An 11,869-nucleotide genomic window follows, 5' to 3' on the forward strand; every position below is an offset into this window, starting at 1 on the left:
TGGCTCAGATGAAGTAGTTAAAAGCAGAAAACGGGTAACTGCAGAAGTGCTGGTTGTGGGGGGATTTACGCTTCTTTTTCCTCCAAAGCACCTTGTCCTGGAAGTGCCAGGTGCCCTCTGGGAAGGCCCCACTTAGATTGATTTCTCTCTCTTTGGGCACTTTCAAAAGGTCCTCTCCAAAGCGCAATCCATCGACTCCGCCAATCTGTCACCAGGCAGCTCTGGGAACGGAGCCAGGGACTTGCAGGTGTGGCCTCAGCAAAAAGATGAGCAGGGTGGTGCCTCTGCCAGGGAATCGCCTCTGCCAGGGAATCGCCTCCGAGAGCTGAGCCCTAAGGCACGCTGGGCCCCGGCCTGATGGCGCAGAGGGAGGCTCCCCACCCTCCACTCCCTGGCTTTGTGCTTTGGGGCCAGGCACCTGTGTGGGGTGGGCTTCCCAGGACACAAAGGCTAGATTCAGTGAAAGTGATTCCTTGGTCAGAGGGAGATTTTCAGAGGAATCAATGGCTGTGCGCTTCACTGTCTTAAAGTGGTCTATGCCTCCTGACTACTTTCATGCTAAAGCCCATCTCTCAGCCTAAGGTTGAGGCCTGCAAATGAACTGGTCTTATTCTCCTGTGCGGATAAGCCACCTGTCAACCCCCGCTCCCCAAAATACACACCCAGTGCCATCCCCTGCTGATACCTCAGCTCAACATGCATTCCCAAGTCCATGCCCGCTGGGGAGCCCTATCTGCCCCATAAACCCCCCATCAGCCACGACCTTCACCAGGACAATGCGGGGTGCCGGGTGTCCTCCCCAAGCTTCTCAGATGCAGGTGCTGCCTGAGACAGCAGAAGGGAGGATGGTTCTGAAGGAAGCGTAAGCGGGGGCATCAGTCACGAAGCTTGGCCACAAAGAAAGTGAACAGCGGGAACCGAGGCTGTGGCTTTCCAGGGACCAGCAGCTGCAGGGGTGGGGCACGCGGCATGGATGGGGGCCACGGACAGATTTGGAAGGCAAAATCTGCTGAAAAGTTTAGAGAGGATAAAGCGGGGGGCTCTGATTTAGATTAGCCGTGGCCTGGGGGCACACAGCCCACCCAACTGCTTCTGCACACTGGCTCCTGGAAAGGGAAGCAAGTTGGGGCTGGGGAGGGGGCTGGAGGGCCCTGGCTATGACAGCTGGGTCTCCTCAGGACACCGAGGGCACATGAGGCAGCTGCAGGGGTTGAGCACCCCCAGACAGGTGGCCCAGACCTTCAGCCTGGGTAGGAGCAGGAGGACACTGTAGCATCCTTGGCCCCCCGCCCCCTTTTCACTCCACCGCCCTACGTGTGGATGAAGAGAAAGGACCTGGGAGGAGAACTCCAGGAACCCCAGCTCCTCCTTCACCCTCGGCTAGAGTGGGGACCAAGAAGGGCCTGTGCTGAGGCTGCCACACGGCCTGGCCTGGGAGGAGACAGCAGGCTAGATCACAAGGACCACTGCTGGTGCATGGCCCCCATAGGCTGTGAGCCACACACAGGTGGGGAGGGCAGGCCAGGCCAGGGTTCCTTGAGCACCGACCACGTGCTGGACGCTCTCCTAAGTGTCCTCATCTCATTTGAGACCCGCAGGAACCATGTGGGGACCCTGTACTCTGACAGTGTGAGTAAGTCCTGCAGCCAGTGCCTGGTGCAGCCAGAAAGCAAGCCGGGGCCATCAGAGCCCCAGGCAGGACACTGAGCAGCTGCCGTGGGAAGATGCCGGATAGAGTTTCAAGATTTACAGCATTAATTAGAACTCCTGTATTATTCAGAATCGATATCGCGGCTGGCCTCCATTTTTTAAGACTTGAAGTCAGAGGAATTCTGTATTCTTCTTTCCTAACAGTCAGCCGAAGCCACTCATCTCAGGCTGAAGGGGGGTTTTCTTCTTGTCGGGGGGATGTCCCTGGAGGAAGACTTTCCCTCTGGGGTCTCCCAACACAACATAGACAGAGAACCAGCCGAAAACAGGAGGCCACCCCTGCAGGCCAGAGGGAAGGCGCCCTGGAGTCTGAGCCGAAGCCTCAGGCGCATGGAAGGGCAGCTCAGCCCCAGGCCTCCGATGGTGGAAGTGATGTCAATGCTCCAGATAACACTTGTCCCGGTTTAAAAATCACTCAGCCATAGATGCAGGATTGAAAGGTCAACCCTCACTCCCTGCTAAGACTTCCTAAATTTTAGATGAACTGAAATCCATCTTAACAAAGTCTCCCTCAAGACAGAAGCATTCTGGACTTTGGATGGAGCAGGGAGCAGCCTGGGCGTGGGTGCTCATGATGCTGCTTGGGGCAGGGAGAATGGGGGACCTGGGGGCCTCAGGTGGGAGGAATCAGGACAGGCTTGGAATGAGGACCATTTCCAAGACAGAAGCACAGACTGCATGCATTGGCCAGAGAGGCTGGGAATCCAGAGAGACCTGGGATCCCCCAGCATCCTTTCTAGGCCCTGGTTTCTGCGTTTGTGAAGTGGGGAATTAGTTCCTGGCCAGGAAGTTGCAGCGAGGATGGGATGAGACCCCGGCAAAGCATGCGGCGCTTAGCAGGCATCCCGTGACATGGGTTCCTTCCCTCCCTCTCTCCCTACCCACTGCAGAGTTTCCTCAAGGGAAATTCCTCTGGCCAAGTGTTATGTGGGGCCAATGGGTGATGTTGGAGCTGGCGTCTGTTGGCACCTTACAGGGCACCATGGTACATTATGAATGTGGCTCCTGGCTGGAAGAGCCGGGTTCAGGAAGGGCAACTTCCCAAGACAGAGTTGCCTGCAGCTCAAGCCAGGACTTACACCTGGCTCTGCCCAAGTAGAAACCAGGCTCGTTCCCACCTGGGTGTTTCAGGGGAACCAGCCAAGGGCCTGACTGGGGACAGGAATGGGCTGTGGGCCACCCCTTGCCACCCATAGCTCATGATGTCACTGGTCACACAATATTAAAGCACTTAAAATAAGTAGTGGGCCCTCAAATACCTTAACTTGTGTTTCTAATTAAAACAGGAAACAAGAGTCAGAGAAGAGAGGTATTTAGGGGCATTCGTGATTGAGGTGACTTCCTGGAAGAATGGGCCATAAACCTGCCTGTAACAACCCGTAATGCAAGGCCATGTGTCCAGGAAGAGCGGCTGCAGGATTCAAGGGCCAGGGAAATCCATGGGAGGACAGCATCCACCCACCTGGAGATGGCACCGCCCAGGGCGCCAGGGTCCCCACAATGTTTATACCCCACAAATTCAGGTGTTGAAGCCTTAGCCCCCACTGTGATGGTAATTAGGAGGTGGAGCTTTGGGGAGGCAGTTGGGGTTAGAAGAGGTCATTAGAGTGAGGCTTATGCAATGGGATTCACGTCTTTATACAGAGACATAAAGAGTTCCCCGCCTCCCCTCCATGAGAGGACACACCTGTAAACTAGGAGGTGGAGCGGCACCAGGACCCAACCCTGCCACACCTTGATCACAGAGTTCCCGCCAGCAGGGCTGTGAGAAAATAAACGTCTGCTGTTTGGGTCCAGTCTGTGGCCTTTGGCTATGGCAGCCCCAGCTGAGGAAGGCACAGTTACAGGGAAGTCTTTTGAGAAGAGGGCCCTCCAGCTGGGTCTGGAAGGGTGGAGAGGGCATCTGGAGGCAGAGCCACCGTGCAAAGCAGGTGGTTACCAGGGTGGGTGCTGGGGTGTCCTAGAGGTCCCCGCTCATGCTGGCAGAGGTTCCAGGAAAGAGACAGAGACTGGCTTCTCCTGAGGACTAGGGAGGTGTCCGAGGATGCATTTGGGGGTTCACTGGCAGTTGGTCTGATCAGAGAATCGGGAGGGCATTTGGGGAAGGAAGAAATGAGATCTGTACATCACGGTGTATGGTGCCCACCACAAGCGTGGGACGGTGAGGTCTGCTGAGGCCAGCAAAGCGGGTTGGGGAAAGATCTTAAATCTTGGGAGGTCTTCAATTCCATCATCAGAATTTTATAATTTATAGAGGAAGGGAAAGAGGATGAGGCATACCTTTAAGCAGAGAGATACCTCTCCTGAGCCTCAGTTTCCACGTGCGCACCATGGTGTCAGACCCACCAGAGCCCACAGAGCTGGAGCTTCCATCAATCTTGCACTCTGAGGGTTTGCACTCTGAGGCCGGGAGACCAGAGTAAGGGGGTTGACAGAGACGCCTCTTGCAAAGGTAACTTTCGGGGCACAGCCATGAGGGAGGGCGCTGGTGTCTTCAGTCTGAGACTCCACAAAGTGACGCTCTTCTGTGAGGGACCTGGGTGCAGGATGGCCAGCGATGGCAAGTTCTGGGCCAAAATTCATGTTCTCTGGTGACCGTCCCAGCCCCCAGGTGACAGAGAAATCACTGGACTGAACGTCATTTCCAATGCAGAGTCTAATTATGATTCATGGTGTGTATCTGTGTTCTCGTGAGACTGTTATCAAGTCTCCTGAAATGGAGCCACATTCTCAGGGTGAGGAGAGAGGTGTTACCTACATCAACCCCACCCTGCGTCTGTCTCCTCCCCCCAGGCCTGCTGTCTGGTTTGGAGAGGGGCCTTGATAACTGGAGTCATTGCAGCCTTAAAAATCTCTGCCCATATTAATTGACTCACCCCAAGTAGAGAGGGGCTGGCAGATAACGCTTTAATATAGAAAGAGGCGCTTCCATTTTAATGAGATCGTAGCAGCCACCTGCGGAGCCCAAGGCTGGAGCGCCTCATTAGCAAGAGTAGAGCAGCCTAACTTTGAACTTGAAAATCGTTACAGAACTTGGGCTTCAAGTACTTCCCCAGAGACTTGGGGTTTTCTTTGCTGTTCTAATAGGAAATCTTCTTCCAAATGAGTTTTTCTATTTTTAAAATGTCTGGAAGAAACTACAAAGTGCAGGATTCTACTCCTCTGCAAGGTGGAGACTGTGAAAATATGTTGTTAATTGTGCAATTATGCACAATCCACTGGGACGGCAACGTGGGACATGGACTTCAGGATCTTTTAAAGAAGATGTGATGTGAGTTTTGTGCCAAATCAGCACAGGACACGTTTCTTTAAACCAGCCAAAGATTCCATCAGCCAAGTCCACGTGAAGAAACCCATCTCAACCCATCGAAAACAAAAGGAGGTGCTATCTCTCTGAAAGTGATCCAAGAGGAAAGCAAAGCCTCTTTTCAAAGGTGTGGGGAGAAGAACTTTGTGTTTGTTTGTTTGTTTGTTTTTTGGGTTTTTTTTAAATTTTATTTTACTTTCAGTTCTGGGATGCATGTGCTGAACGTGCAGGTTTGTTACATAGGTATACACGTGCCATGGTGGTTTGCTGGACCTATCAACCTGTCATCTAGTTTTTAAGTCCCGCATGCATTAGGTGTTTGTCCTAATGCTCTCCCTCCCCTTGCCCTCCTCCTCTTCAACAGGCCCCGGTGTGTGATGTTCCCCTCCCTGTGTCCATGTGTTCTCATTGTTCAACCCCCACTTATGAGTGAGAACATGCCCTGTTTGGTTTTCTGTTCTTGTGTTAGTTTACTGAGGATGATGGTTTTCAGCTTCATCCATGTCCCTGCAAAGGACATGATCTCATTCTTTTTTATGGCCGCATAGTATTCCATGGTGTGTGTTTGCCATATTTTCTTTATTCAGTCTATCATTGATGGGCATTTGGGTTGGTTCCAGGTCTTTGCTATTGTAAGTAGTGCTGCAATAAACATATGTGTCTTTATAGTAGCATGTGTCTTTATAGTAGAATGATTTATAATCCTTTGGGTGTATACCCAGTAATGGGATTGCTGGGTCAAATGAGATTCCTCAAGGATAAAGAACATTTTTAAATGAACGATTGGGAGGAAGTTTCTAGACTAAATCCATGCACGCTTGGCTTTCCTGGTGACAGGTGAGGCAAGTCCTCGCCTCAGCACTCCCCACATGCTCAGTGTCCACTCAGTGTCCAGCAGCTCTCAGAAGCTCCCCTGTGTCCTCTGACAGGGGTACAGGCCAGGACCCCACATACCATGCACAGTGAATAAGTAAATGAACGCACAAGGAGGGGGTTGTAATGTGGAGCTGTGTTCCTCCATATCTCAAGCCAGAGTGGATTTGATGAATGGTTTTGAAAAGATGCAGAATTTCCTGTGTGAGTCGGAAGGCTTATGCTTGAAATATTGAGGTTTTCTTGACACATTATTTGAAAATAATTATTTAGATAAATATTAATCTTGGATGACAAAGAAGCCAAAAAGCACAAAGAACACCAATAAAGAAGGAAGGTGGCCAGGCGCAGTGGCTCTCACCTGTCATCCCAGCGCTTTGGGAGGCTGAGGCAGGTGGATCACCTGAGGTCAGGAGTTCGAGACCAGCCTGTCCAACATGGAGAAACCCCATCTCTACTAAAAATACAAAAAATTAGCCAGGCAAGGTGGCATGTGCCTATAATCCCAGCTAATCAGGAGGCTGAGGCAGGAGAATCACTTGAACCCGGGAGGCGGAGGTTGCAGTGAGCCGAGATTGTGGCGCTGCTCTCCTCCATCCAGCCTGGGTGACAGAGTGAGACTCTATCTCAAAAAAAAAAAAAAAAAGAAGAAGAAGAAGAAAGAAGAAGGAGAAGCAGAAGGAGAAGAAGAAGGAGGAGGAGGAGGGGGAGGAGGAGGAGAAGAGGAAGAAGAAGAAGAGGAGGAGGAGGGAGGAGAGAAAGAAGAAGGAGGAGGAGGGTGATTTTTGTCATGTGCAGACGCTTTGTCGTGTGACTAGACGGATGTATATGGTTGCATCTTTGGACAGACAACCTCAATCTCTGTGCCCTACTCTGCCTCATCCAGAGGACTGTTGTGACTAAACATTTCACTCATTAAATGTTTCCTGAGCACTGAGGCCACTTTGTTCTTATTATACTGCATTGTGCAGAAAATGCGAAGTCAATAAAACACATCTCTGGCCCTCAAGCCCATCGTGGGACACAGAGGGGATGACGGAGGAACTGGAAAGTGATGTGCACAGTGACTGGTGCACTGATAGTCCCGGGCATGGGATGCCGTGAGCACCCCATGTGAGGTCACACTATCTTAGTCAGCTCGGGCTGCTGTAACAAAACACCACAAACTGGGTGCTTGAACAACTGGAATTATTTTTCTCACAGTCCTGCGGGCCAGAAGTCCAAGATGGAGGTGTTGGCAGGGCTGGGGCCTGGTGGGGGCTGTCCCTTTGGGTGGCAGACACCCACCCTCTCACTGTGTGCTTGTGTGGTCTTTCCTTGGTGTCTGCACCTGCAGAGAGAGAGTGAGTTCCCCGGGGTCTCTTCCTGGAAGGGCACTAATCCTATCCCTAAGGGATTCCTAGGCCCACCCCATGACTCCATTTAACCTGAACTAATTCATTTGAGACTCCATCTCCACATATGACCACACTGACGGCGAGGGCTTCAACCTAGGAATTTTGGAGGAAACAAACACTGAGTCAGGAACAAAAAGCCAGGCAGGCTGGAAGAAAGAGGGACACAGAAGGTTTTGCAGAAGATGACAGGTTCTTTTGGGCCAAGGCTACATGCAGAGCCCAGAGTGGTGGAGAGGGGGTCAGTGACAGAAGACACAGAGCATAACATGAGTGTGAGTGAGTGTGTGTGCACGAATGCATGTCTGCGCTTCCACATGCGTGTGTGATTGCAGATGTGTGTGTGTGAGCATGTATGCACGTGTGTGTTGTAGAAAGAGAGCTGGGCTGGAGCCCAATATCAGAGGTAGGAGTTAAGGTTGCAAAGCCCAGAGATAAAGAGCCACAGAAACCAGACAAAGGAGCTGGAAGTTGATCTTGAAGGGCGTGGTCCCCACTAAAGTGATTTACTAGAGAAGCACTTCAGAGAGATGTCCATTTAAGAAAGAGATTCTGTCTGTAGTGTAATGAACTTGGTGGAAGTGGGCAAGGCTGAAAGCCAGGAAGGCCAGGCCTTGGGCATCCCGCCAGGGTGTATTTTGTGGGATTGTTGTGAGAAGTGCAGGGAATAATCCACATAAAGGGCTGGAGATACCGAACACTCAGCTGGCACAATGATCTTTTTACAGGCCCTTTATTTATTTATTTATTTATTTTTTGAGGCGGAGTCTCACTCTGTCACCCGGGCTGGAGTGCGGTGGCGCAAACTCAGCTCACTGCAACCTCCACCTCCTGGGTTCAAGGGATTCTCCTGCCTCAGCCTCCCCAGTAGCTGGGGTTACAGAGGCTGATTTTTATTATTATTATTTTTAGTAGAGATGGGGTTTCACCATATTGGCCAGGCTGATCTCAAACTCCCAACCTGAAAAGATCCACCCTCCTCAGCCTCCCAAAGTGCTGGGATTATAGGCATGAGCCACCGCACCCAGCCAGACCCTTCATTTTTAAGGTGGTTCGGGTTCATGGAAGGAAGGGTCGGGTATTTTTTAATCCTGGAAAGTGCTGTTCCCACTAGAGTGTCTGGCACAAGGGATGTCCCATTCAGGTTTACAATGGGGAATTATACCTGTATGGTATTGTACCTCGTGGTGTCCCAAAACCTATTGGGGTGATTAATTAGCAGCAATGTAGATCTTTTAGCTCCAGAAATAAACAGCTCTTTCTTATTCTCTGTAGTTACTGGTTTTTGGGGGGGTTTACTAACATGGCTATCATTTTTTTACTCAACACTCCTTTTGTATCATTTTCCTTCTCTCTGAAATAAATACATTAGAAATGTCTGTAGTGGTATAAACTCTATCAGGTTTAATTATCCGAAACATCCTTTACCTTCATTGCTGAATGATAGCATCGCAGTTGAAAATGCTAAGGTGCCTCTTTGAAGACACAACTTCTCCTTCTTTTGGTTTCCATTGTCATGTTTAACATGTGCGTTGTTGTCATAAGTCATTTCCTTGTAAGTAATCTGAGTTCTTTTATCATCTTCTTTGCCTTTGAATTTCATGGTCCTTCACTGATGTAGCTTGATATTAATTGATTTATATTTCTCCAGGTTGGAATTAGGCTCTCAGTCTATGAGGATTCCTAATTTTAATTAGTTCTAAAAACTTTTTTGGCATTATGTTCAATACTCTCTGGGTTCCATTTTTTTTTCTGTCTCTTCCTCCCTCTCTTTCTTCCGCCCTGTTTCTCCTTCATTCTTTTCTTTTTCTGGAAGTCCTATTGATATGTAGACAGTCTGCCTCACTCTACCTTCCACTCCTCTCAACTTTCCTTTCATATTTCCCGTGTCTGAGTCTCTATGTGCTGCCCTTTGGACAACTAACTGAGACATATCTTCCACTACAGTTGTTCTCTGTTTAGGTATATATATACACAAATATATATACATAAATATATATTATATATAATATATAATTATATAATGTATAAATATATAATGTATAATTATATATTATATATAATATATAAATGTATAATTATATATTATATATAATGTATAATTATATATAATATATAATATATAAATGTATAATTATATATTATATATAATATATAAAATATAAAAATATATAAATATAATTTTTTTTTTTTTTAGATGGAGTCTCTCTCTGTCACCCAGGCTGGAGTGCAGTGGCATGATCTCGGTTCACTGCAAGCTCTGCCTCCCGGGTTCATGCCATTCTCTTGCCTCAGCCTCCCGAGTAGCTGGGACTACAGGCCCCCGCCACCACGCCCGGCTAATTTCTTTATATTTTTAGTAGAGACAGGGTTTCACCGTGCTAGCCAGGATGGTCTCAATCTCCTGACCTTGTGATCCACTCACCTCGGCCTCCCAAAGTGCTGGGATTACAGGTGTGAGCCACCGCACCGAACCCTGTTCAGATATTTTAACACTTGACTTCAGCCGATACATTTGAAAGTAAATGTCATTGATGAGATGTTTCATCTTGAACGTTCTATATGAGATATTCCTTATCTTTTTAATTGTCTTATTCTTTTCATATCTTCACTGAAATATTTATTTTCTAAATTTATTAAACACTCCTATTTTGTGTTCTTTCAAAATATAAAGTCATTGAATGTATAATTCTTCCGTTTGTTTGTTTTCCCTAATCCTGTTCACTCTTGCTGCGTCTTATTTGATTTTACGCTTTCTATGATTCAATTGAGAGATTGTGTTCTTTGAAACCCCATGGATGTCCTGGGAGGTAGTTATTGAAGAGGAGGAGTGGGACCACAAGAAAGAGTGTGTATTTGCATCGACAGTGTACTTGGGAGTGATACCAACTGAGACCAACGTCAACAAATGTATTCACCTGGAATACAGCTCCCCATTCTCAGTGGTTCCTCCTGTTTTATTACTAGTATCCAGAGCAAAGTCCCTCCTGGTATCCTTGAAGGGAAATTGTTTTCCACTCCATTTGTTTTTTCCATGAGGAGGTAGCATTCATTTAAGGGACATAGTTACAGATACTCACCTGGAGCCACTCCCGTGATACCCTCATAACTCAAGTCTCCTGGGTCCCTGGGATAGAAAATACCTTCAAGGCAGCACGCACACTAGCATTCGCTTACTGGACTTGTATAAGGAGGATTTTCTGTACTTTAGTTTAAGCTCCATGATGCTCTTTAAAGGTAAATTTAAAATTTATTTTAGCCTATTTAACTTATAAAGTAGGAGGTTTTCCATGGTAAGTAACCCACCATAGGCCAAAAATGGAAGTTCATCCTTTGGATTTCAGGGTCATCTTGGCCATGGTTTCGTTTATATCTGTTTATCCTCTATGTTGTCAGCAACTCATGTACAGAGACCACAGCCTTTTTAGCTCCAAGTCTCTCCTGCACCCAGCCCAGGGCCTTCTCAGGGTGCTGACTTCAAAACATGAGCATTTACTCATTCATCATGTCTTCACACCTCAGCTGCTTGACATACAAGGTGTAGCAGATGTCACCCTATTTTATCCTGCTGAAAACCTGAGACTTGGAGATTTTTAAGTGACTTACCTATGATCACATAGCTTATGCCTGCCTTGCTGACATCTTGCATTTTTTTTCATGAGACCCTGATAGCTTTCTGCATGCTCTGTCTTCATGTACAAAGCTTTGTCTGTGTCCAGGCAATGTGGTCTATTTATTTTACTACCTAAGATGGGTACAGAGTAAATTGCAGGCGTTAGGTTTACAGCCAGAGGAGCTGTTCATTTCTCAGCACTTTTAAAGCAGAGCTGCTACTGCATTTTCCTGCAGATGAAAAGTTCTTTGAAACTTCTTGAAAAATTTTTGCAGGCTTTGACGGAGGAATAAAATTTGATGAGTAGTGCAGGGGATTTAAAATGGACCATCATCTTCAATGACTCCGACCAGACGATGGGCAATTGCTGCATCCTCATTTCCTCCAGGTCTCTGCTCAATTTCACCTTATCAGTTAGACCTTCCCTGATGGTCCTGTTTGAAATAGCAATCCAGCCTCGACCCTGGCACTCCTCACACCATTTACCGTGCTTTGTTTTTATCTATCTCTTGTACCATCGCCTGATATGCTGTGTATTTTTTTTCTGCCACCTGTACTGGAATGCCAATGCCACAACATTAGGGACATTAGCGTGATGGTTCTTTAATGTATTTCCAATACTGAGGCTAATGCCTGGAACAGAGTAGGTATTTAACACAGTTTAATGAATGAACGATGATGATATAATTTACAAGTATGTGGCCCATTCTTTTAGCCATGATTTCAATGGAGATTCATACTAACCTTCTGAGGCAAGCAAGGAAGAAATAATTGATGGGTGTGTACACTCAGCCAGGAAGCAATAGAGTGAATGGCTGGATCCTGGTGCACTCCATGCCTCTCTGATCCCCAGGGAGTAGGGGAGATGATACTCAGAGTACATAGTCTTACCAGTCTCTGACTCCGTGTTATTGCTCAGTCAGGAGGCTGTCATGGCTCTTAGAGAAACTTTCTGGCTGAGGCATGGATACT

General features: G+C 47.8%; 1 annotated feature.

Annotated features, from left to right (window-relative positions):
- Positions 3,155-3,656: an enhancer, noted in NCBI's record as "H3K4me1 hESC enhancer chr22:48552617-48553118 (GRCh37/hg19 assembly coordinates)". NCBI's record gives its function as "activates a minimal SCP1, AML or CMV promoter by ChIP-STARR-seq in primed H9 embryonic stem cells {active_cell/tissue: H9 hESC(primed)}" and the evidence as "EXISTENCE:reporter gene assay evidence [ECO:0000049][PMID:30033119]".

This window comes from Homo sapiens, chromosome 22, assembly GCF_000001405.40.
Source record: "Homo sapiens chromosome 22, GRCh38.p14 Primary Assembly".
NCBI lineage: Eukaryota > Metazoa > Chordata > Mammalia > Primates > Hominidae > Homo > Homo sapiens.